General features: G+C 38.7%; 1 protein-coding gene and 1 long non-coding RNA gene across 7 annotated transcripts in view, besides 1 other annotated feature; one reads left to right on the plus strand and one right to left on the minus strand.

The window, feature by feature from the left end:
• The window catches only part of TMEM26 (transmembrane protein 26), a 46,740-nt gene extending 33,452 nt beyond the window's left edge, over nt 1–13,288 (minus strand). For all 6 annotated transcript variants that reach the window (NR_134507.2, NR_134508.2, NM_178505.8 and 3 more), the window contains exon 1: nt 12,798–13,288. Coding sequence is in view for 4 of the 6 variants with exons in the window: in NM_178505.8 (NP_848600.2) it covers nt 12,798–12,988 (191 nt within the window). In the remaining 2 variants the exon portion in view is untranslated. The remainder of the gene's footprint in view (nt 1–12,797) is intronic.
• Nucleotides 12,078–12,372: a silencer, noted in NCBI's record as "tiled region #6107; HepG2 Repressive non-DNase unmatched - State 21:Repr". NCBI's record gives its function as "represses a minimal TATA promoter and a strong SV40 promoter by Sharpr-MPRA in HepG2 cells {active_cell/tissue: HepG2}" and the evidence as "EXISTENCE:reporter gene assay evidence [ECO:0000049][PMID:27701403]".
• TMEM26-AS1 (TMEM26 antisense RNA 1) overlaps nt 12,546–24,377 on the plus strand; it is a 40,795-nt gene continuing 28,963 nt past the window's right edge. The window contains exon 1 of the long non-coding RNA NR_120643.1: nt 12,546–13,196. This is a non-coding gene — a long non-coding RNA (TMEM26 antisense RNA 1). The remainder of the gene's footprint in view (nt 13,197–24,377) is intronic.

Consider the following 24,377-nt stretch of genomic DNA (forward strand, 5'->3'; position numbering starts at 1 on the left):
GTCGGGCATGGTGGCTTGCACCTGTAATCCCAGGTACTCCATAGGCTGAGGCAGGAGAATTGCTTGAACCCGGGAGGTGGAGGTTGCAGTGAGCTAAGATCATATCACCGCACTCCAACCTGGGCAATTTAGTGAGACTCTGACTCAAAAAAAAGCAAAAAAAATGACAACGAAAACTAAACCTATATAAAACTCCTTGAATCAAGGGCCCTTCTTGTACTGTTGAATACAAACATCGTTATGCTTAACTTCACAATCAATGTTGAGGCAATTACTGTCACACTGCCATGGTTTGCATGGAGCATTTGCCCATCACTACCTACAAGATGCTGCCCACTCAGGGCCCTGCCCACCTCTTGCTCTCTCTTGCTTGCCATTCTTCCAACTGTGTTCATATAACAGTGTTCTTCTTCCAGTTCTCAAAAAAAAAAAAAAAAAAAAGCAAGTGCTGTCCCAACTGAAGCCCTCACATATGTATTTCTCTCTTTAGAAATACCCCCTCTCTCTTACTTTTAACCTGATTATTTCATATCAGTTATATGGGACTTCAGAAAACTTTCCTTGTTCCTCAAGTCTAAATTAGCCCTCTCTGGTCACTTTTATGCCATAGATTTTCAATATTTATAATTACATATGTGCATATGTATATGTGTGTATTTGATATCGTTTAAGTGTTGACTCCAAGCAATTCTAAATAACGCAAGCACCAGAACTGTGCCTGTCTGCTCAAAAGTGCAGTCATCCCTTAGTATCTGGGGGGGATTGGTTCTAGAAACCCTGCAGGTAGCAAACACTGCAAATGCCTAACTTCTTTATATAAGATAGTGTAGTATTTGCATATAACCTATGCATATCCTCCCTATGCTTTAAATCATCTCTACATTACTTATAATACCTGATATAGCTGTAAATGTTATGTAGATAGTTGCTGTACAGTATTGTTTTTTATTTGTATTATGTTTTAGTGTCACATTGTTGTATTTTATTGTGTTTTTTTTCCCAAATATTTTTGATCTGCAGTTGGTTGAATCCGCAGATGTGGAGCCTGCATATATGAAGGGCTGACCGTATACTCTCTGCTCCTTCCAGAGTATCTGGCATGTGATGAGCTCGCCACAAACATTTAGTGATTCGATAAGGCTCTGGTTGATTTACAGTTTCTACTTTCCTGACACTCTGTTGCTGGTTTGAATAAAAATTTCTTCTTGAAATGTCATCATAAATTGATTTTTATTGGAAGATTTACAGAAGAAAACTAATTTTATATGTTCTGCTCCTATGAAAAATTTAATATTTTAGTGTGATATCTTTGCCATTAATTACTATTTTGAGGGTTTGCAGTATTCTTGATCATGTGTTGTCTGTGCAATTCATTTTTAGAGCAAAGAAGAGTGTGAAGTTTAAAAATTAATAAACCAGGTTTTATTTTAGTCTTTGTCTTGATGGCATTAGGAGTAAGGAGATGTGGAGTACCTTGTATGACGACTAATACCATGGAAAGATCTGGCCAACTAACAAATCATTTATATCACGTTTCTGGATAACTGTTTATAAACATACAATATATTGGACTGATAAAAGCTGATAAGTATATGATTCAATGACTAATACATGTCCAAGTGAAAAATTTTTACAAATGGACAATACCCTATTACCAGTGAGCTATCTGCCCTTAGAAACTCAGATTTATTAGAATCCCAATTACCTGTCAGAATACCAAACTTGTCCAATATGAATTCTTCAATGCCAAATTACTTTGCTCAACTATATTTTCATATAAAGCCCTCTTAAAATCTTTCTTTTCCATGAAGTTGTGTTTTTTTGTTTTAATTCCATAGCTCTTAGCCTACCTACCAATTCTCTCCCAAGTACACAAGCAGGAGCACCATCTCAAAGGAGTTTTTTTCTTTATATATTTACTTGTTTACTTAAAAATTCATTTGTTTTGTTTTATTTGTTTATGAAATATGTATATATATATAGGTCTTGCTACATATTAGACACTGCTCCAAGCTTTTTAAAAGCTTTACTCATTGCTTTTGTCAGTTCATTTCATCCAAAAGTAAAATATTGTTTACCATACAAAGTTGTCATTTCAACAAATTATAATGTTTTCTACAAAATGATATGTCATGACATTTAGCAATTTAGCCCTGCAGTAGATTTTATTTACTTTGACTCACCATTAGTCTAGAATTAGGATTCCATTTTTCTCTTTCTAAAAATGACAATTATTAATGTTTTCTTATTGAAAAAAATAACATCCATTCATTTTTATTAACAAATAACAGTATAAGTAAGCCTATAGAAGAAAAATTAGCCATATCACTACCCTGTTTAGTTTTTCTCTGTCTGTCTTCTGATCATATGTATATATCTGAAAATGGATAATATTTAAGTGAAGCAAAAATAATATTCAAAATGTACTTCAATTGAATCCAGATTTTATTTGTATTTCATTTCTCAATATTTTCTCCTCTACAAAAACAGAGTGAAGTTGTAAGAATACTAGACCCAAGTTTCAAAATCTCATGTTAAGTGAGATTTTGCATGTCCTCCGTAAAATTTCTGGAGCACTTTATAAAAGTTTATTTTCGTGGAAATCAAAAAACCAGGTCATGATATTCTTTTCTAAGTCCCTAAACCTGTCTAACAATGCAAAGGTTGTCTGTCCTTCTTACATGTAGACTCATTTGTCTAAGTGGGCCTTAACATGTATGATTTCCATCAAGGCTGCTTGGCAAAGGCTTTCTGTTAGTGTGTAAGGGGAATATGATGACCAATATAACAACCTCAGTATTTCCTCTACCTCTCTTCAACTCCTCAACGTGAACCCAATGTTTTTGTGGAACACAAAGCCTCTGAATGCCTGGGAAGTCACCAGTGTGATCCCAGCCACCACCCATTAATCTTCTTAACTAGCATGTCCCTCATCATTACCTCCCTTCCCAAAGCCCTTTGCATGTGCCTGTTCCCTGGCAAGAAAGCCTCAACTAAATGGCCAAGAGCTAATGAGAATTCCCCCCAAAATGGAAAATTGAATATAAATGAGAAAGTTTTAAAAGGTGCCAAGATCAGGCCCGGTGCAGTGTGTCACGCCTGTAATCCCAGCCCTTTGAGAGGCCGAGGTGGGCGGATAACAAGGTCAGGAGATCGAGACCATCCTGGCTAACACGGTGAAACCTGTCTCTACTAAAAATACCAAAAAAAAAAAAAAAAAAATTAGCCGGTTGTGGCGGCGTGCGCCTGTAGTCCCAGCTACTCGGGAGGCTGAGGCAGGAGAATGGTGTGAACCTGGGAGGCAGAGCTAGCAGTGAGCGGAGATTGGGTCACTGCACTCCAGCCTGGGCAACTGAGGGAGACTCCATCTCAAAAAAAAAAAAAGTGCCAAGATCGGTGGATAGGTTTGTTTATTCAGTGATCTTAAGGATAGACCAGACAAATAATGACAGAAGAGACAAGGAGGAACTTCAAATGGGTTGAGAAAATCCATTGCAATGAAATCTTTCTTTGTATTTCCGAAGCCCTTGAAGATTGTCTATATTCAGATTTTGTAAAGAGAAGATACTACTGAATGTGACTCTTAGTTATAATTTTCATTGTTTGTTGTTGCAATTTAAAAAAAGTCATATTCCCAAATAATGATATAAACTAATAGCAAAATTAGTACCCCATATACCTCACTCAATCTAAAATTTTCCAAGAGTAGGCCTAAAGCAAGCACAAGCTTTATTACAATTGAAGTTGTTCACAAACTCCAGCAATATGTTTCACTATTACTAAACTAGTTATAGTGACAAAATATGAATCCATTTGAGGATCTACATACTATCTTTCTCATAAAATATTTCAGAAGAAAAGAAAATCATGGCATCCTCCTAAATGAATTGTTCCAATTGAAATCCTAACTGTCACCATCATGATATTCTTTCAACCTGAAAAGCACATCTTTCTTTTCTGCACTCATAACCACTACTACCTCAGAAATCATTTACCTCTGAAATGGTCCTTGTCAACAAGCCCACCTTACTGATTGTATCTTGATTCTGCAGGCTTTCCACACTCTTGGACTTAATTTGTGAAAATTTATTTGGTTCTCTAAATGTCATTTTATACTGTTCTCATATAACTATACATATTTTCTATTTTTTATAAAACCACCATGACAGCATCTGGTACAATAAATGCTTATTTAATGAACAAATGAACTTATATTGCTGCCGACTACAGGAACTTTAATGCTCTCTGAGAAAATAAAATGCATTATAATTGTTATTTGTGTTAGGCTTTAGTTTATTTCATTCTAAATAAAGATGATAGTACTTATTTCTGTTCTGTAGAGGAGATTGGTTCTTTAGGACGAAAGTTAAAATAGTCTAGAATTTTCCCCCTTTTCTCCCTTTTATGTCCTGTTTTGGTTTTACAAGAATGTTTGCTTGTGCAAGAGTGTATCTGAGCCAGACACTCTTGTATGTAGTGTGGACTTCCCTACATTGTGTTCTAAGCAAAATCATCGCAGTCTTCCTTTAGCTGGTCACTTGAGTTTTACCCTCATAATTTAAAAAAAAAAAAAAAAAACACCAACAGAACTTTGACCCTTTCTCTACTACAGAAAATCCTTGACCCTAAAAATTATGTAGTAATGTAGTTACTGTATACAAAACATAACAAATAAGTTGATGGAGTAAGGGGAGGACTCAACACAGGATTACCAAGCTTTCCATCCTGGGAAGAAGAATCCTTCTCCAGACCTCTAAGCTGTAGCTTCCCCATCTGCAAGCAGAGGCATAAAGGCACTACCAGGGCTATTGTGAGGATTGAATGAGCTGATGTGTGCAATGCCAATGCCTGGCTCAATAAATGTGAGTGCTCACCTGATGCTAGGAATTGTTTTCATTATCTATTATTGTCAGTTGTGACCTTGGATAAATGATTTATTGTTGGTGTGCATTAGCGTACTCACCCTAAAATGGTAATTAAGATGGCAACTAATGTATAGGGTCATTGTAAGGATTACATGAGATAAGGGAAAGAAAGCAGGCTGTAGCATTGTCAGTACTCAATAATTGATAAGTGGTGCCACCTCCATTATCATCATCACCATCATCATTTTCATCACCATCGTCATCACTAGTATTAAGAGACTGTCTGAGAATGGCACTAGCCAATTTATTTTGAGGCTATTTCAGGTAGATTAAAATGTGTATGGGACAGGAAGCTCAACCTGGGAAATAAGAAAGCAAAGGAACACTACAGGAACAACCCCACCCCCTCTTCCAGGGCTACAGCAGCACTGATGTTAGAGAACCTCTTTATGTGCTTAAGGATGACCGATTTTTATTCTAATAAGTGGATAACATTAAGTCAGTTGTACATTATCTACCTCTTTGAGGTCAGTCAGACAAAACAAAGATAAAATATAACCCATCTCCTTAAATAACTATAGGTAATAGGTTTATATTCAGAGAAAAGTAACAAAATTGGCGTTCACCCTGGCATGTTACATTAACAAGCCTTATATTCTTAATATATTTTCAATATGACTTTCCAAAAAAGTACATTTCATAAAGTGCCTACATTAAATTTTTTTTTAAAAAAAAGGAAAGAAACTTATTTTTAACAAAACATTTTATATACCAAAGGCCTTTTTGTCCTAGTACCAAGACTTTACAGGAACTTCCAGGGTAGTGGGGAATATACACATGGGGAGAATAAACCTTGATGTAAATGTGAATTTTTCCACCGTTGGAAAAAAACTTAAGGTATTCAGATTTGTCCTGATGCTGTATGCATAATGTCACTGCCATGAGAAGAAATGCATGAAATTTAAAAGTAGGAATATATTTATACTGACTTATAGGAGCTGCCCATGCTAATTTGTACTTTGTTTTTCTCCAGTCAAGTACAAGAAGTGAAAAAAAATATATCAGTAAACTTAATTTTCAGTTCTAAATGTCTCAGTTGAACATGATCATAAAGAAAGCATAGCCATCATTCAGAGGTTCCATTTCTTGGAGCTCCCATTCTACTTGCAGACATAATTATTACATTGATCTGAAGTCTTATGTGAGGCAAAAGAAGGAAATATGACTTCTTCTTGGGAGTAAAGCATGGTACTAATTTTTGAAGAAGACTCTTGTCCTAAACCATGACTTGGATTACTAAGAACAAAGTCATTTGCTAATAACATTCAGTGTGTGCTTCCCAAAATGATGCACATTTAAGTCACCCTTCTGCACTGAGTTCAAGACTCAGGATATAAAACACACATTCCCACAAGCATACAGGAAGATAACAAATACAAGCAAACCTTGGTTTCAGATATCTCAATAAAGCAGATCACACAAAACTTTTGGTTTCCTAGTCCATATAAAAGTTATATTTACACTATACTGTAGTCTATTAAGTGTGCAATAGTATTATGTCTTAAAAAATGTATATACTGGGCCAGGCGCGATGGCTCACGCCTGTAATCCCAGCACTTTGGGAGGCCGAGGTGGGCTGATCACGAGGTCAGGAGATTGAGACCATCCTGGCCAACATGGTGAAATCCCGTCTCTACTAAAATACAAAAAATTAACCAGGCGTGGTGGCACGCACCTGTAGTCCCAGCTACTCAGCAGGCCAAGGCAGGGGAATCGCTTGAATCCAGGAGGCGGAGGTTACAGTGAGCCGAGATCGCGCCACGGCACTCCAGCCTGGCGACAGAGCGAGACTCCATCTCAAAAAAAAAAAAAAAAAAAAAAAAAAAAAAAAAAATTAAAAATGCTTTATTGCTAAAAAGATGCTGACACAGAAACACAGAAACACAGAGTGAACATACATGTTGGAAAAACAGCGTCAAGACTTGCTCCCATCAGGGCTACAACAAACTTTAAAAAAAAATGCACTATGTGCAAACACAATAAAATGAGGTACACCTGTAGAATAAAACCTCAGATACACTAAAAAGCTAAAGAGAGATTTCAGGCAACTTGGACACGAAGTGTGAAGAGGGAGAGAAATTGTTTATCTTCTGGGAGAATTTCCAGTGCCCAAGTTGGCCATATGGAAGTCACAGGGTCTCCTTTCAAATCCCTCTATCTCATCCTCTCTGGGGTCCAAAAACATTGGGGTGGGGAGTGGAGGAGGAAGAGTTTTATTTCCAAACCTTCTCTCTGGCATTTTCATAAACATTTTTGATGGAGGAAAGCACATATTATCACATACTACAGAATTACATCATACAAAGTTCTCCCGCATTGCTTAAAACTTATACATCAAGATCAAATTTCACACAGTATGCATCTGTCAAGTCTAGGTTTTCAATTTCACTGCTGAACTTTTCAAATGCAATTGAGTGATCTAAACAGATTTCAGTGAATTTTTTACAAAATTGGTTTGAATTTGAGATCAATTTAGGATAGAATCCTTTCTGTTTCCTAACTTGTCTTTTCTGTTTTCAGCTGTGAGCCATCCAGATAATTTCTAATACACAGTGTTTAAAATGAAGTATTGTAAAGTTAAAGAAATTCGGAAGAGTTTTTAACATGGAGTCTAGGGATACTGGAATAATAAGAAAAGGGGAAGAGTAGAAAAACAGTATTAATCGGTCATTTGAGGGTATGTCAGAAATATTTCAAGGCTCATGACGATTGCCCCTTTTGTTATCCTCCCCATGCCTGGCTGGCTCCCTCTCTTCTCTAAGGCCTCAGCTCAAAGGTCACATCCCCAGCCAGGCCTCTCTGACCATCCAGTGGCACCTTCCCCTGCACACCCCCCTCACTCTGTCACCCAAACCACTGGGGCCTTCAGAGTTCTGATCACTCATTTGTTCACTTGTTTTCTGTTACCTATTAATTCATCTGTTTATTAATTACTCACATCTTTATTTTCTAAGCCCCTTGACTAAAATGTGAGGTTTGCGAGGGCAGAATTTTGCCTGTTTATTCACTTCCATATTCTCAGTACTTGAATAATGCCTGACACAATACAGTAGATGTTCCGTACACTGTTGTTGAAAGAAGAGTGAAAAGACTCTGTGCCTTCTCCAGAGAAAACTACTCAAGGTTGTCTAATTCACCTGCCCACCCAGGAGGTTCCCTCCCTACATGGCCTTCACACACCTCTCTCCGGATGCAGCTCTCACCCATTCTTCCTGTGACAGCTCAAATGCTGTCAAGTTCCCTGTTCCCGACCCAATATTCTGCAGCATATCCTTTCTCCTCTGAACTGCTGGAGTGAGTAAGATTGGGAGCCTGGAGTCTTCACTCTTCTCTCTCAACTGACAACTAACTGGTCCCAAAAGGGATGACTTAATAACTCTGTGCCTCAGTTTTCTCATCTAAAAACGGGAGAAAACAGAGAAACAATATAAACTACAGTTTTTGAAAGGATCAAATGGGACTATCTGTGTGGAACACTTGGAAGATTCTGGAAGATAGGAAATGCTAAATATTCATAATTATTCTGATACCAGCACATTTGAGCACTGTATCAAAATGCTACCTTTTAAAATGTCGACCGTGTTTGTTTTCTGTTTTTTTGTTTTTTTTTTTTTTTGGTCTGGTCACACAGTGTTTAGCATAGTATCATATCATGCTTGCTCATTAAGCAATTCAAAAATACTTGTCTGATTGAACTTAATAAAGTAAAAGGAAATGAGAGATAACAAAGCAAGGTGACCAAATAGGTGAGTTATTATTTATTAACTCACAAATGATATTTTCCTTGGATTTATCTGGGGAAGAAAACTCAGTGCTTAAAATTGTATACTTTTGCCAGTAAGTTCAACCTAGCTTTCTACTTATTCTCAGATAATGCCTGCTTTCGAGTGAACAGCCTTCAAACTTGTCACAGTCTTAGTAATTTTTTTCTATCCCTGAGGAATATTTTATTGGCTGGAAAGCAGCTGAAATGTTGACTTTTATTTGACTTTACCTAAATGGTAATTCACAGATCCATTGGATTGTTGCCCAGACAATAGAAAATAAAATCAAGAAAATCTTAAGCCAAGTGATATTCATTTTCATCTTACAGAAATGTAATTAAATATGCAGGTGAAATAGATAAATATTAGGTGAAAAAAAGCAAACTCCAGGAGTACATATTTTTTTTAGCTTAACGGGGGACATGTTGTTGGCTCACCCTCTCTATTCTATAGGATTCCAACAAATTAAATATTAGGTGAAAAAAAAGCAAACTCCAGGAGTGCATATTTTTTTTAGCTTAACGGGGGACATGTTGTTGGCTCACCCTCTCTATTCTATAGGATTCCAACAAATCAAACCTCTCCAACTGGCGAGTTACTAGTGTTGATGTAATGTTGCTTGTCCCTGGACAGCTGAGCTCAGCAATTCCAGTTCCATGTTTCCTTTCCAAAGGATAGCTAAAGAAACATTCACTGGATAAGTGTCATATGTTTGCTGTGTTTCAAAATATTTAGTTCACATTTTCCTCTATAGCTCTATTTATTGTTCCACAATTTCTGTAGATTGGACTCGTTTGGGTCCAAGTGTAAATTTGAATTAAAAGAACAATACTCAAAGTAGCCCAGAGTAGTCCAAAGGAAGTTCATGGATCTGATTTTCAAAGAAAAGAACTTTTCCACCTTATATATGTATATATTTTAGTCCATCATTCATGTTTAGTCAATCATTCTGTCTATTCTAATTTATTCCTCTTTATTTATTTTCAATATGGAAGGTTTTTTTTTCCTTTTCGCCTTCCCTTTCTCCTCCTCCTTTGCTCCTCATTTCAACTTGTAGAAACAATGCTTTCAATTGATACAAAGGACAATTCTTTTACATTTTTAAAAAATGTAACCATAATATACACAACTCTATAACTTTAGTGTCCTGATAATATATCATGGACATTCCTTGAGTTTAGTGGTTAAAATCTAGCTCATTATTTTTAATGTCAGCAAAATAGCCTATAGTATGAATATTTCACAATTCTTAACTATTCCTCTGATGGACAATCAGTATGCTTTCAGCTTTACTTTCCACAAACAAGATGGATATTAATATTTTTGCTCATGTCTTCACATATGGGTACCTTTAGTTCTACAGGGTTGATTCCAAAATATAAGACTATAAGAGCAATGGAAAAAAGGCTTATCTATATATAGATTAATGCATATTAATATTTTTCTATATAGAGGTATAGATGTTGCCATAATGTTTACTTCATCTCTATTTAATTCCATCAGCCTAGATTTTCGAATGGAAATTTTTTCTTAACACTCAAAAACAAAAATTACACCTTGCTTTACTCAGAATACTTCACCTAGAAAGGGAATGTTCCCCAAATTGAACGTTTTTTCATTGTTAACATATTATTTCAAGGATAATTTCCTACATGTTTTAGCAGCCCATGTTCTGATTTTTTATTCTCACATTTATGACAGAATAGTGTGTGGGCTTTTTCCACCACAAAAATGAGCATATGTCTATATTCAGTTGTATTTGGTAACATCAATAGAATAAAGCATTATTAATCATATTCCTATTTAGACCATTTACCAAGACTCATTTGTTGCTGAAATTTTATACTAAGTCAAATCAATCAACTTTTTTCTTTGCTTATTTTCAAATATGAGTGTAGATACTATGCCAGCAAGATTTTCCTTGAATTCATGTTATAATGCACAATATATATAATGGGTCTGTTCTTCCAAAATAAAGGTGAGAATTTTTTTTTTGACGTTTTTGCCTGGAACCAATGGTTTATTGGCTAGTCACTCAAGTAAATTTGTCTGACTTGTGCGGACATAAAGTGTGCCTAGTTGATACAATAATATTTTTAATAAGAAGAAAATAAAGAAAAATCTTTGGATTTAGAAAAGATCATTGCTTTCTTATTCATCACCAGTCAACATATATTATTTTATATAATTCTCTAATCACCTATGAGGTAAGTATTCACAGGTAAGAAATTGAGGCTGAGACATTAAGTAGCCTGCTCAAGGTCTGACAGCAAGTAGGAAAACCCAGATTTTACCCCATTATCTGTCTGATTTTGAGGTGCGTACTCTAAACACTAGTATATCCCCAGTTCCCTGTATAACTTGACTTATTGACCATCACTCATTTTTATCCCAACCATTTTTCCTCTCTCGGTTGTAAGTCACATGTCAGTACCAATCAGCAGTAAACAAAGATGTAGACGTGAAGGTAAAGTTCCATTGGCTATAGTATTTACACACAACAGGAATGTTTGACTTAATGCGAGTTAAGGCCTCTGGTCTACTCTTGGAGGGGGAGAGCAGCCCCTCTTCTGAGGCTGAAGGTCTCCTAGAAACTCTGGCGGTTGGTGGCAGGACTATTTTCCAATGAACAGTTTTCAGCCTCAGACTTCATCTTTCTGTGACCAAAGATATTTCCACTCTGGCTTATTAAACCTACTCAGTCAAAGTTAAATCAATGTTATATGACCTGCTGAGTGAACAAACACTTTTCTCCCCCTTTGTTTCTTTATCCCTGAGGCTTACTTGGGAAACTAACACCATTTTTCTTTGAGATTTCCAAAAGGCACACTGGAAAGTACCTCAAATGTCTCACGCTTAATAAATTCTTCATGGGGGTGGGGAGGTGGAGCCAGGGGTAGTCACATTCCCATCCTGGTCGTATTAAATTAGGATTGTTCTTGAATAATTTCAGCATTGATAATTCTAGAAATTTTTCAACAGTAGAAAATGTAAGTAAGATTCACATCATCTTCAGAGGCAACATGTTTTCTTCCGTGAACTGTCAGGAAATACAAAGCCTTTTGTAGTTTAGTATGTAAAACTGTAGAGGGGTTGTTTCATTTTTTTTGAACACAATGACTATAATGCCATTGTGTATGTAATTGTAAATTGCCTAATACCATTTTCTCCTTTCTCATAGCATGAGATATTTTTAATGTATTGATATATATATATATATATATGAAAACACATCCTATTTAAAGAATTAAAAGAGAAAGAGGCCTAACTTGGAGAAGTTCTGGATGAACTTCCAGATGGATTCCTCTGGGGGTTGGGGGAGGCTCTTCGTCAATGGCAAGAGAATCTTTTTCTCAATTATTTGATTGCCATTCAAGCCTTTCGGGGAGGAAATAAGCACCACACGTGGCGTGTAGTTATTGCACACAGACGTTAAGACTGAACCACTACCTGCTGGTCCCTTCACCAGCGTTACAACCCGTTCCTTGCAAGATAGGCAGGCCGTTAGCCAAGCCCCAAAGCCAGCAAACCCAGACACCTGAAGCTGGCGCTGTGCTAGAGAACGCGCGACGCGCGCGGCTGGAGGGAAGGGAAGCGGATGAAACCACAGACGTGCAGCGAGGGTCTTCTCGTCTTAGGAGGGTGGCCAGTGTGCTCAGCTCTTGCGAAGGTCGCTGATGCCCAGCGAAGGACATTCCCACATGTGCACGCACGCAGAGTAACCCGCGCACACTCACACACCCCAGTTTCAGAAGGCACACTACATGGCAACCTCCTTGTCCCAAGACTCCCCTATTTGCGGGCACATTCAGCAAAATAGACCAGCGCTTCCTCTCTTTACTCATCTTCCAAGTTTCCAAACCTGAGACTGGGTGACTCTTGCCTAGGCTCACAGATCGAGCCTTCCCAGTGTTGCACTGGGACCCTAGGGTGGCCCTGGGGTGCCCAAGAGATGCGCAAGCATCTCGCGCCTTCCAAGCGATCAGCGAGGAAAAACGGGGTCCAAATTCGAGTAGAATCTGCGGGTTGCGGGAAGATGGCCTGCGAGTGCGGTGGGGGACAATACCCTAGGGCCCCGTGCGCCCTCGCTTTCCCGGGGCACTCTCACCATTTGTAGCCTCTGCCGCGCTTGAACTTGAGGGTGAGCGCAGTCTCCAGGAAGAGCAAGAGGTTGAGCAGCGCAAGCAGCCAGTACCGCGGCTCCTTCTTCACCTCGGTCACTCGCCAGACCCCGACCAGCGAGTGCAGCAGGAACAGCAACCGAGTGGCCAGGGCGTTAAGGAAGACCAGTCCCTCCATGCTGGCCGGAGCACTCTGCCTACGTCCCCTTGCCTGCGCCCCCAGGACCCTGCCGGGCGTGCCCGGAGCCCACCGGTGAGCAGGAATATGACAAGCACTGAGACCTGCTGCTGCTTGTGGTCCCTTCTCACCCTCAGCGCCCGATGCCGGTAGAACTGGTGCGCGGCTCGCCCCTCCCCCAAACTTCCTGAGAACTCTTCAAAGAGGGGTGAGTCCAAACCCAGCTTTTCCAGACTGCTGGGTTTTCCAGGGAGTCTGGGGCTGCGCTGCCCTGTCTCCAGGGCGTTATTCTCCAGCGCTGCCCATCCCCCTCCCAATCTCGGGGCCAGTCTCCATCCCTGTCCGGTATCCCCGCCCCCGGGCCTCTGTGAGGTTCCCAAGAACTTCCCCATCACGAGGGGGCGGAAAGAGGAGGGAGGAGGACTGAAGGTCAAGGTGCAGCACAGCCAGAAAGGCGGAGGAGGAGAGCATCTCTGGCAGCTCCGCCTTACTTTTCCACCGAAGTACTTTAATTCACTAACACGTTTCACGCTGTCATGCTGACCCGAAGCCGGGACGCAGGAGGGCCAAAGAATCCAAGCAATTTTAGAAACCCCGTTACTGCCCAGCTTGAATTAAAACTTCCTAGGATCAGAGGCAGTCAGACCCTCTGGGCTTTCTGCGAGTTTAGCGCACCTCCCTGGGCCAGTGGGTAGCCCTGCTCACTTTTACTACTCGAAGATTCCTTATTGTGCCATCCCCCACCGCACCCCACCCCTGTTGGTTATTTTTTTTTCTTGAAAAAAATATAGGGGTAGCAAGATAAGACGGAAGAAGGGAAAGTGGAGGAGGAGAGGAATGATAAAACCAGGAATGCCATTAGAAGGTAAAATGCATGCACTCTCAAATTCAAGGACCTGTGCTCTTGAGATCAATGACCATGAATTAAACTCTCCTCTTTCCAGCGTCCAACACAAGAAATGAAGTCGGGGTTTCCCAAAACACCTTCATGATTTTTGTTTGCTTGTTTGGTGTCCTACCACCTGTACTACTATTGACTTAATATTTTTCTTTAAATGTCCTCAAATTTTTACTCAAATAAATTTATTTTAAAAAGAAACTTTGTATCATTTGTAAATGGAAAGCCTGTATAATTGGCTATAGTTGGAAAGTAATTACAAAAATAGCTAAAATATGATGAACTATGTTATTGAAATCTCTCTAGATATTAATTAGTGCCTTCCAAAGCTCTCTGCCTCAAACTCCCTCTTTCTTTGTTATAAAGGGAGATATAGAATTAATTAGTCATATTACTATAATACCAAGCAGGAATGCTCCCTTGACCACATTAGTAACATTGAAAGAAAAGTACAAAGGGAATATCTTTCCTGGTTAGGTTTAGTCAAGTTAAAATCATGTCATACTTTTCTTAAAATCAAGTTGAAAAATTGCAAATTATGTGATTAATGTCTCCATTAGTTGAGAAATATCTAACTGCTCACAAGAAGCTTAGAAGTTATTTCCAATACTGAGAGCTGAGAGAATTTTTGTTTTCTCCTGTGGGTCAGCATTCTCCCACATCTTACAGGAAACCCAGCAATGATTTCCTGGTGCAGTTTATTCTAGTTTATAGTGTCCTTCAATGTTGGCTGATGACACAGTGACCACACGCCATTCAGTGAAGCGGAAGAGCATAGTGTGGCAGATGAATGCTGTGGAAGGAAGCAGTGTGCTGTGGGGGTTAGAGCCCTGTACCCACCAACCAGCTGACTTAGACGGCTCACTAAGTCACTTAGTAGTATTGTGCCTTTTGTCCTTCTGTAAATTTGGTACTAAACCTATCTACTCACGGGGTCATTGTGGGGATCAAATGAGTTAATCCATATGAAGGGCCTGGCAAGTGGTAAATGCTTGGTAGACATCAGTGATTATTGGGAGGGCCAAGAAAGTTACGCCAGGGGAACTGCTCTTCGATGATCTGAGACAAGTAATAACAGGATTGGAGTGGAGCAACATAACATTCCTGTCAAAAAACCCCAGATGAACACATCTGGAACTGAACAAGTTGAGTTTATTACTTTTTTAGGGAGGGGGCACACTCCATGGGCCACTGTGGGGCGTCTCAGTATGAAAGTCTTAGAAAGGTTAAAAAGCATTGGAGATAACTTATTAGATATGATTTGGGCTTGACTGAGGTGATTTTGGGGCTTACAGAAGTGGGGCTTTACTCTAGATGGAATGCTATTAGGAAGCTGGGTTAATTTTATGTTGGGTATGTTGATAAATCTAATATAGAAAGGGATATTTGTGGTTTGTACAATATTCATGTTCAGACATAATTTTGGAGCGGTCCTATTTGATCCACCATGATCTCAGAGTGGCCTTACCTGATGTTTTGTAAAACTTGTATGTTCAAGAGGAGGATACCAATGCTTGGCTGATGGTGCCAGACCACTTGCTTGCAGTCAGGGGTTGTTTTTCTCTTTCTCTCTCTTTTCTTTTTTTCGAGACGGAGTCCCGCTCTGTTACCCAGAATGGAGTGCAGTGGCGCGATCTCGGTCACTGCAGCCTCCACCTCCCAAGTTCAAGCGATTTTGTGCCTCTGGCTCCCGAGATTACAGGAGGATGCCATTATGCCCGACTAATTTTTGTATTTTTAGTAGAGACGGGGTTTTACCGTATTGGCCAGTCTGGTCTCAAACTCCTGACCGCAAGTGATCTGTCCACCTCTGCCTCCCAAAGTGCTAGGATTACAAGCGTGAGCCACCGCATCCAGCAACTTCTCTCTTTCTCAAGCCTACTAGGAAGGGATCTCTAGGAGAGCTTTAAAAAAGGGAAGGCAGTCAGTCTGACATCTTCCAATCATTTCTTATTCCCTATTTTGAAGGTTCAGAAACAAATTAGTTTCTGTCGTCTCTGGATCTGAAAAACAAAATTGTCATTAAAGAGAATTAAGGTTGATTTCTTCTTAATTTTTTCCTAAGTCCATTTTAAAGACTGGAAGCTTTCAGAAATATCTTAAAACTGTCAGGCAAATAGCCCAATATTTAAACAAGAAGAAAAAAATAAGCAATTTTAAAAATTTACTCTTCTTGAAAAAAAAGCAATCTCAGTTGATGCACCCAGGTCTTGTGGTATGGGCTGGGGTTGCACTAAAATGCAGCCAGCTTGTTCCACTATCCCAGGAGGCAGCTATCAACAGGTCTCCCTTCCCTTCTGAATGCAAACTGAACATAGTTGTCAGGATTTTCTTTCAATTTGGGTGATTTTGGCTACAAGGAAGAGACTTTCTCAATTCGCTCACGTAAAAGGAGTTGTTATTGGAAGGGAATGTGTGGTCTAAAAATGAAGATGGAATCTCTTGGACTGAAGAATACGAGGTAGATGAAGACAGGGCCTTGGGAACTGGGAGCTGGGGACAGCTGTGGACTTGGGTGGCAGCAAGGATCTCAAGGTTGCAGTTTAGAGACCTTTGCACAGCAACTCTCTAACATTCTTGTCTTCCAGCCAGATTTCTCCACTCTGAATTCAAATTGCTGAGATAAGGAATTCAACTGACTTCCTTCAACTCTAAGCATCAGGGTCACACTACAGACCACAGAGCAGGCTACTGACTGAAATCCAGTCACCGGCTATCCCTCTGCAAATACCAGTTTAGTGTTGTTTTGTTCATCCTTCAACATAAGATTCTGGGCAGCAGAGTTTAAGCAGGGGAGGAATGGGGCATGGCAGGTACATTGATAGGTGGAGTACCATGCAGCTGTGGGATGACACGCACACATCCTACACCTATGATGCCAAAGGCCAAAGATGCCCCTCCCTAATACTATTGAAACATTGTGCATGCATGCAATTATGCACCCAGCTATGGTCTCCCAACAGGGATGCAATACAAAGTCACATCTGCATCCAGAGGCCACCAAAGCTGCAGACTGGTCACAGAAGCTGCAGTCTCCTGGAAATCTTCATTCCTCCCTTGGCTCCATTTAATCCTATTCAGGCATTACTTGTATACATAAATGTGTGTGTGTGTGTGTGTGTGTGTGTGTAATACAATGCATGAAAAAACATAATATACTACAGGATTGTATATCTATTCCCCAGAGGAATCATTCACAATTAACATTTTCATTTTTTTCTGATGATTAAAATTATACCTTTAAAATTACACTTTATATTCCTCTATTTCCTGATTTACCGATTTACAGAACTTGATTTTTCAGTTTGAAATTTGGGGAATCCATTATCCTGCAACACCTTCTTCCTTCCTCATTCCACCTATACCACCCAAATTTGTTAAAATTGTTGTCTGTAACATTCTATTCTCCAGCTATAATTAAGCCTGCATACTGTGTCTTCTCAAATGGTTTATTCTAAAAATTGAAAATCAACAAACAATATTTAAAATATATAATTATTACTCAATGTATTTTCAGATATTTTCAGATTCCATTATTTTCTAGAATGCAATGTTACTGATAAGAAGTATGTTTTATGTCTCATTGTCTTCTTTGTGTAGATAAGTATTTTTTTAAATCTCCAGAAATTTTTAGAATTTTTTTACCTTGGAATGTTTATCATTTGACTGCATCTAGATAGTGGACATTTCTTTCATATACCCTACTCAACACAGCAGTCTTGCGTCTTTCGGTAGAGAGTCAAATCTCCTTTTATTATGTCTTTGATCTTTTTTTCTCCTTCATTGTTTCTGTTTTCTCCTTCTGGAATACCTTATACGTTTCATCTTTGTCTTTTTCATCTATGTTCTTACCTTTATCTTCCATATGTCTAAGTTAGTCTTCGGATTATTTCATTTTATTGTTGAACTCTATAAGTGATTTTTTTGTTGTTGTTGGTCAACTTATTTTGTAATAAGCCTTACTTATTAATGGAGATTTTCTTTTACAGAAGTTTATTCTTGTCTGCTGGATGCAATACCTTTTTGTCTTCCTGAATTATTTCTGTTTTTACTTGGTTGGTTGCTCAGTTCCATCCTTTACATCTAGGGTTTTATAACATGACGGTTCTCAAATACTCTGATGATCTTTTGTTGTTCATTTATATTTACAAACCAAGGACTGGGCTGGTTACAGGACATATTTGAAATAGGTGTATGAGTTGCTGTTTATCTATTAAATGGAAGAGCTGGCTGTGGTCCTGGATACTTGGGCAAGAAACACTTGTCAGGTCAGCTTCCGTAACGGGTGCAATGAAGAGGAGCAGGCAGGGGTGTCAAGGCAAGGAAGGTTCCTCTGGGAGCTGGTTCTTAGTGCATCTCATTCAGTCATTGGTAGAGCTGCCTTGACTTCTCTCTTCTACTCCTTGCCCTAGTTCTGGCTGCTGTGAAGATCCATATCTACCCATAACAATGCTCTGATTCTACCCACACCCTTACTAGAAGCCTCACAGCCCACCCAACAACTTTTCTTTAAAGAACACCTCTCAGGTTTTAGCTTGGGAGCAAATATCGCTAGTGATAGCCTCTAAGTAAGGAAGCAGAAGTGATCTCCAGATATTTCAATTGTTCTCAATATATGTGTTGAACAAACACCTCAAGCATTACTGCTGTTTGTACTTGCGGGTTGTGACTTCAGCTTCTTAAGGAGTGCTCATAGAAAGAACTGGGCCCACCTTGGCTATCTCAGTCTGTTTTCCTCTGCACTGGTTTTTCCATTGACCCAATCCTGTCTGTATTCTGTCTTCCTGGATTTCCTCAAAAAGGAGGTTCACCCCCTCATGCTTTCTAATACTGCTTCTATTGTATCTTTTTGGATTTTCAAAATCTTTTCTTCCATTTCAAAGGTGAAATCTTAATTCTCAGTTCCCAATTTGAAACAGAAAACTCACAGGTTGCTTTACTGTTCAAAATGTGTGTATTAAACAGGAAAAGGAATTGTAATTATTTCACATTATAATATAACAGGAAGGAAAATAGAACTTTATTATGCTAGTAATAACTATCATAATTATTCATCTTTAGAAACTAATAAAAGTCAGTGGTAGTGATCAGTTTTCAGACACTTCAACAGCTAACAAGGAATAGGAATCTAAAGTGCAGGTGGAGGATCTTGATTAAGCCACCTTCTTCAAGAGTTGGCTCCACTTCTTATGTGACAGTTGGAAAGTTACTTAATTTCTTTGAATTTTGGTTCTCATTTATAAAAACAAATAATGATAGACCTTCATGTCTATTATTAAGATTAAATTAACTGATACTTCAAAAGTGCTCAGAAAAATGTCTGGAATAAAGCAGGTACTCAGTAAATATTTGTTGAATAAATAAATAAAGATATAAGTGAGGATTGGGTAAACAACACCCAAAACAGAAAGGTATAATTCCCCAGCTGGGACCATAGCTGAGTATTCTAAGGCCAGCTGCTTGTAAATGATGGGGCTAGTAAATGTCATTTGTGTGAGCTCAACGCCTCACTCCATCACAAAGAAGGGAGAACACTGATCAGTAGAAACATTTGATCATCTTCTGTGATGATCTAAATTTGTTCAAATAAGACTAAGGTTACAGTTACAGGATGAAGATAACATGAATCACTAAATCATGAACATTCCTAGCCACAGCAGCTCTAGAGTGAGTTGACATGGAAAGCATTGTAAGATATTGCTTCGTTTATGTATAATTTAGAAGAGGTGGTCAGGTGCTATAAAGGAACCAGTGGGGTGGCAGTCCCAACACCTTAATTCCATCCCAGCCTCAAAATCCCCCTTTGTATAATGGACCTAAGGATGCCAATCTTGTCCATTTCATGATCATTTAAAGAATCACATGAGGTAATGATTATGAAAATGCTTTGTACATTGAGGTCAAGGTTAATATCATCAGTGATAAGTCATGTTGATAGCATGCTCCTTTTGTATGAGGTTATGAAAATGGCACTTTACCTCTGTGATCTTCCTCCAAAAATCTCACAAAACATTACACAAAGACAAATTGAGGGACATTTTTCAGAATAACCTACCAATACTCCTCAAAACCGTCAAAGCCATGGAAAACAAGCAAAGACTGAGAAACTCTCAAAGACCAGAGGAAACTGAGGAGACATGATGACTCAATGTAATGTGGTCTCTTGAATGGGATTCTGGAACATGAGAAGGAAATTAGTAACAAAAAATAATGAAATCCGAATAAGGCCAAGAGTTTAGTTGGTAATAATATACCAATGTTGGTTCCGTATTTGTGACAAAAGTTATGTGATAATGTAAGATGTTAATAAGAAAATAAATGAAGAGTACGTAGGAACTCTGTACTATTTTTGCAAATATTTCATGCAAATCTAACTATTATAAAATTTAAAGGTTTATTTTTTAAAAGTTGATAGGTAAATATAACATTTTATTTGGTTCTTTAATTTTATTTCAAAGCAGATTATACATTTAAAAATAGACTTCAGAAATGTCAGATAAAGGAATTATGTGACATTTTAAGAATACTTTTCAAGTACCGTAATCAATTACCTTTCTGCTGCCTTCCATGAAAATAGTCTGTTCTATGATTGTTGTCATCAATAAAAATCATTATCTCAGTTCTAAGAGGTCCACAGAGCTTATCTAGTCCAATCTTCTCACTTTACAAACTGAGGCCCAGAAGGGGCAGGTGACCTTTCCAAAGTCACAGTCTATTTCATTCTTAGCAGCTTTAAGAATGTGAAATAAGAGATATTTTTATTATACCCAAAATACTAGAAAAAAATGAGTGTGTGTGTGTGTCTGCCAGAAAAGCTTCAAATATGAGAGAGAGAGAGTGTGTGTGTGTGTGTATGTGTGTGTAAAGCTTCAAGGAGTCACCTAACCCAATTATGGGACTGGCCTTAAATAACCCTTCTAGGAAGGATGACAACTTGCCATACCTTAAAAGATGAGGAGAGAGTTCACCAAATGGAAGGAAAGGGGGAAGGGATTCCAGGCAGGAGAAGGGATGTCTTGTCCTCCAAGATTGCAGGGAGGAAGGAAGGGTGAGGGTTTAGATAAGAGAATGACTAAAGTGAGACAGAAAAATGATATAGGTCAGGCCTGATGATCTCAGCCATCATAGTAATAGGATAGGAGACCATGTGCTGATAGTGAAGTGTGGGCATTGGTTGGGGAACTGGAGGAGAGTGGTGAGGACTTGAGCTTGTCTTTGAAGATAAAGAGTAGAATCTAAGAAAAGGTAAATAAAAGGCTAATGAATAATTCTAAGCTTGTATTAATAGCATCATATAGGGATATGCAATTTCCTCTAGCAACTTTCAGTTGTCCACATATAGAGAAAGTGGACTGTGGCATTCATCTAGGATTCAGTTTTCTTGGGCAAGGTCAACAGAGTATGAAGATCTAAAGGAACCAAGGATGTTAATATCAACTTTTGTGAGATCAGCTGTAAAGTCTAGGAGGAGTAGAACAAAAAAGAAAATGGAGGAAGTCAACTGACTAGAAGAAAATAGAGGCAGCAAGAAATTGGATGTCTCTGGAATGACCAGGGAAGGTAAAATCTCTTAAAAGTAAATTTGGTAGAAAAGGATCCTAATTCATGTGCCAAGCATCTGAGTGAATAAAAGGAGATGACTGGAAGGTTAAGAGAGTCATAGGCTATTAAAGAAGATGGCATCAACTTCAAAAGAGGATGACACCTACAAAATGGTAGGAGCTCAACTGGGTGCCAAGAGAATACATCCTGGGATGGTGGAGGTACAGATGTTGAAGTGCAGAATTGCAAAGCAGTAAGAGATAAAAGCATGACAAGGAACAATTCACAACTGCAAAGATATGGAACCAATCTAAGTGCCCACTGACCAATGAATGGATAAAGTAAATGTGGTATGTATACACCATGGAATACTACTTAGCCATAAAAAGAACAAAGTGATATCTTTTGCAGCAACTTGGATGGAGCTGGAGGCCACTATTCTAAGTGAAATAACTCAGAAATGGAAAATTAAATACTGTATGTTCTCACTTATAAGTGAGAGCTAAGCTGTGGGTATGCAAAGGCATACAGGGTGATATAATGGTCTATGGAGACTCAAAGAGGGGAGTGGAGGGGAGTCAAGGGATAAAGAAACTACATATTGGGTATAATGTACTCTACTCAGGTGACAGGTGCACTAAAATCTCAGATTTCAACAGGATACAATCTATCCAAGTAACCAAAAACTACTTGTACCCCCAAAGCTATTGAAATAAAAACATTTAAAAAAAAACATGCCAAAGAAAGGAGATACCATGGCAATGCATTTTGTTTGGTGACCAAAAATTGCAAAATGGGAGGAATGGTTGAAAAAGCTCCTCTCTAATATGGCAGGGAGAGTAGCAGCACAAGGTGAGGGCACAGGCCTTAGCATCAGGCTGTCAGCACTATGTCCCTACAGGAAAGAACCTAAACCTTTTATGCTTCCCTTTTCTCCTTTGTAAGAGCACTACCTAACATGCTACTGTGGCACCAAAGAAGGTAATGTGCCTGTACCATAGCGAGTGAGTACCTAATAAATGAGAGCCAATGGTTTTCTTCCCCCAGCTTTCACTGTGGCTAAAGGCTCTAGATAGTCTTGCAAGTCTGTGCAAGGCCTGCACACAGTGGACAGATGGCTAATGACATCCTGGTGCCAGGTAGACAGAGCATCAGTGAGGTTTGAGTGTGACTACAGTCTTTCATAATGTATCAAGTTTGAAATATTCAGATGTCTAATATTTATGCCTACATTGAAAGACAAAAATGATGGAGGTTAACATCCCCAATCACCACTGCAGACACAATGATGGAGGTTAACATCCCCAATCACCACTGCAGACACAAAAGACAATTCCCTTTTCGGCCAAATAGCTATTTGGAGCTATTGCTCCCCAAATAGCTAATCTAATTCCTGCAAGTAAGGAGGAGGCACATACCTGGCAGAAAATAAGGAGGGGGAAAGAAGTTGAAGTGAGTAAGGGACAGGAGCAAAGAGCTGCGAAGAGACTGTATAGAGGCAAAGTTATCAAGCAAACCCACTTGAATTCCATGCCCCTAGGCTTGGATTATATTTATAAGGAAAGGGTCATTCTTGAGATCTATGGAGTCTTTAGTTCTCATGATAGCGAACATGTTGGTTATATTTATAAAATAGAATCATAACTACATCTGGAACTTTTACACAGAAATTAAGGTTGACTTACATGCCAGATTGATTAACATTCCCAGATAAGATGGTAAAGTAAAGATTTATTTTACTTTGCACTCTTACAGCGTGGATTATTATTCATACTTTATTTTGCAAATTGGTGGTAACCTAACTGCAGCCAAATCAAGAGTTCACATGCCAAGTTTTGGTCTGAACAAGTTTTGCATCCAATATACACTTGGCCAGAAAAATAAGGAGATAGAATAATAGAAGAGAAAAGAAAGTATTTTATGCACCCTGGAGGTCAAAAACAGATGTGAGTAGGGCCCTTGTGGAGTGTGACTAGTTAACATCTGGTAATCCCTAATGGATTTCACTGTCCATTTGTAAGTTTCCCCCAATGTTTAATATCAACAGCTATTCAGGAACGTAGTGACTTGCACAAAGAATAAAATTTACAGATATCAAAGACAAAGCCAAAAAATTACTCTGTTCTTGGCATCCATCCTTTCTGGGCAAAGACTACATATTTTCTTTCTGTTGATACTATGTTTAATAAAGCTATGCGATTGGTTAGATTTCGATTGAGCTGAATGTGTTTTGTTTTGTTTCTTTTTATGACTCAGTGACAAAGGGAAATATAAAACCTTCTGCTTACTTAATCAGAGAACTCTGGTTTCTTCTATGTAATTTGAGCAGAAATTGAAAAAAACCATCCCCAGAAGGAGTAATTATGCCCATACTGGTGGGAGGAAGACAAGCAAGGGATGGTGAGGAAGGTAGATAATCTGGCCCATTTTCTTCTCTTGGCGCATAGTCTGTCTGATTTCTTGTTCCCTTTCAAGTCACTCTTTTTTGCAGTGGCAATTCCCACAAACTGCAGAATTTGTAAGAAAATTTACAAGAGGGGCAGAAATGTCTGTATTTCTGACCATAAAGGCTTCAAATGCTGAGGGACACACTGGAAATGTTTTGCAAAGTTGATGCAGAAGAGTTATAATTCTTATTGCTAACTGCAACAATTGAGATTAAACATAGTTCTCCACACCATCCACACACCAATTAATCCAGACATTCCTTTGACAGAACAGGCTACCCACAGAATTGCTAACTTAGTAACAAATTGGTTAGTTGATTAGTAACAAATCAATGAGGCATCAATTTGTGGACCTACTCAGGTCCATTGGTAGTGGTTGCCAGGAATACTAAAATGCTAATATAATACTAGGCATTAGAAGATTCTTAAAAAGAAACAGGGTCTCTGTCGCCCAGGCTGGAGTGCAGTAGCACAATCTTGACTCACTGCGGCCTCAAACTTC

Source organism: Homo sapiens, chromosome 10 (genome assembly GCF_000001405.40).
Source record: "Homo sapiens chromosome 10, GRCh38.p14 Primary Assembly".
NCBI classification, from domain to species: Eukaryota; Metazoa; Chordata; class Mammalia; order Primates; family Hominidae; genus Homo; species Homo sapiens.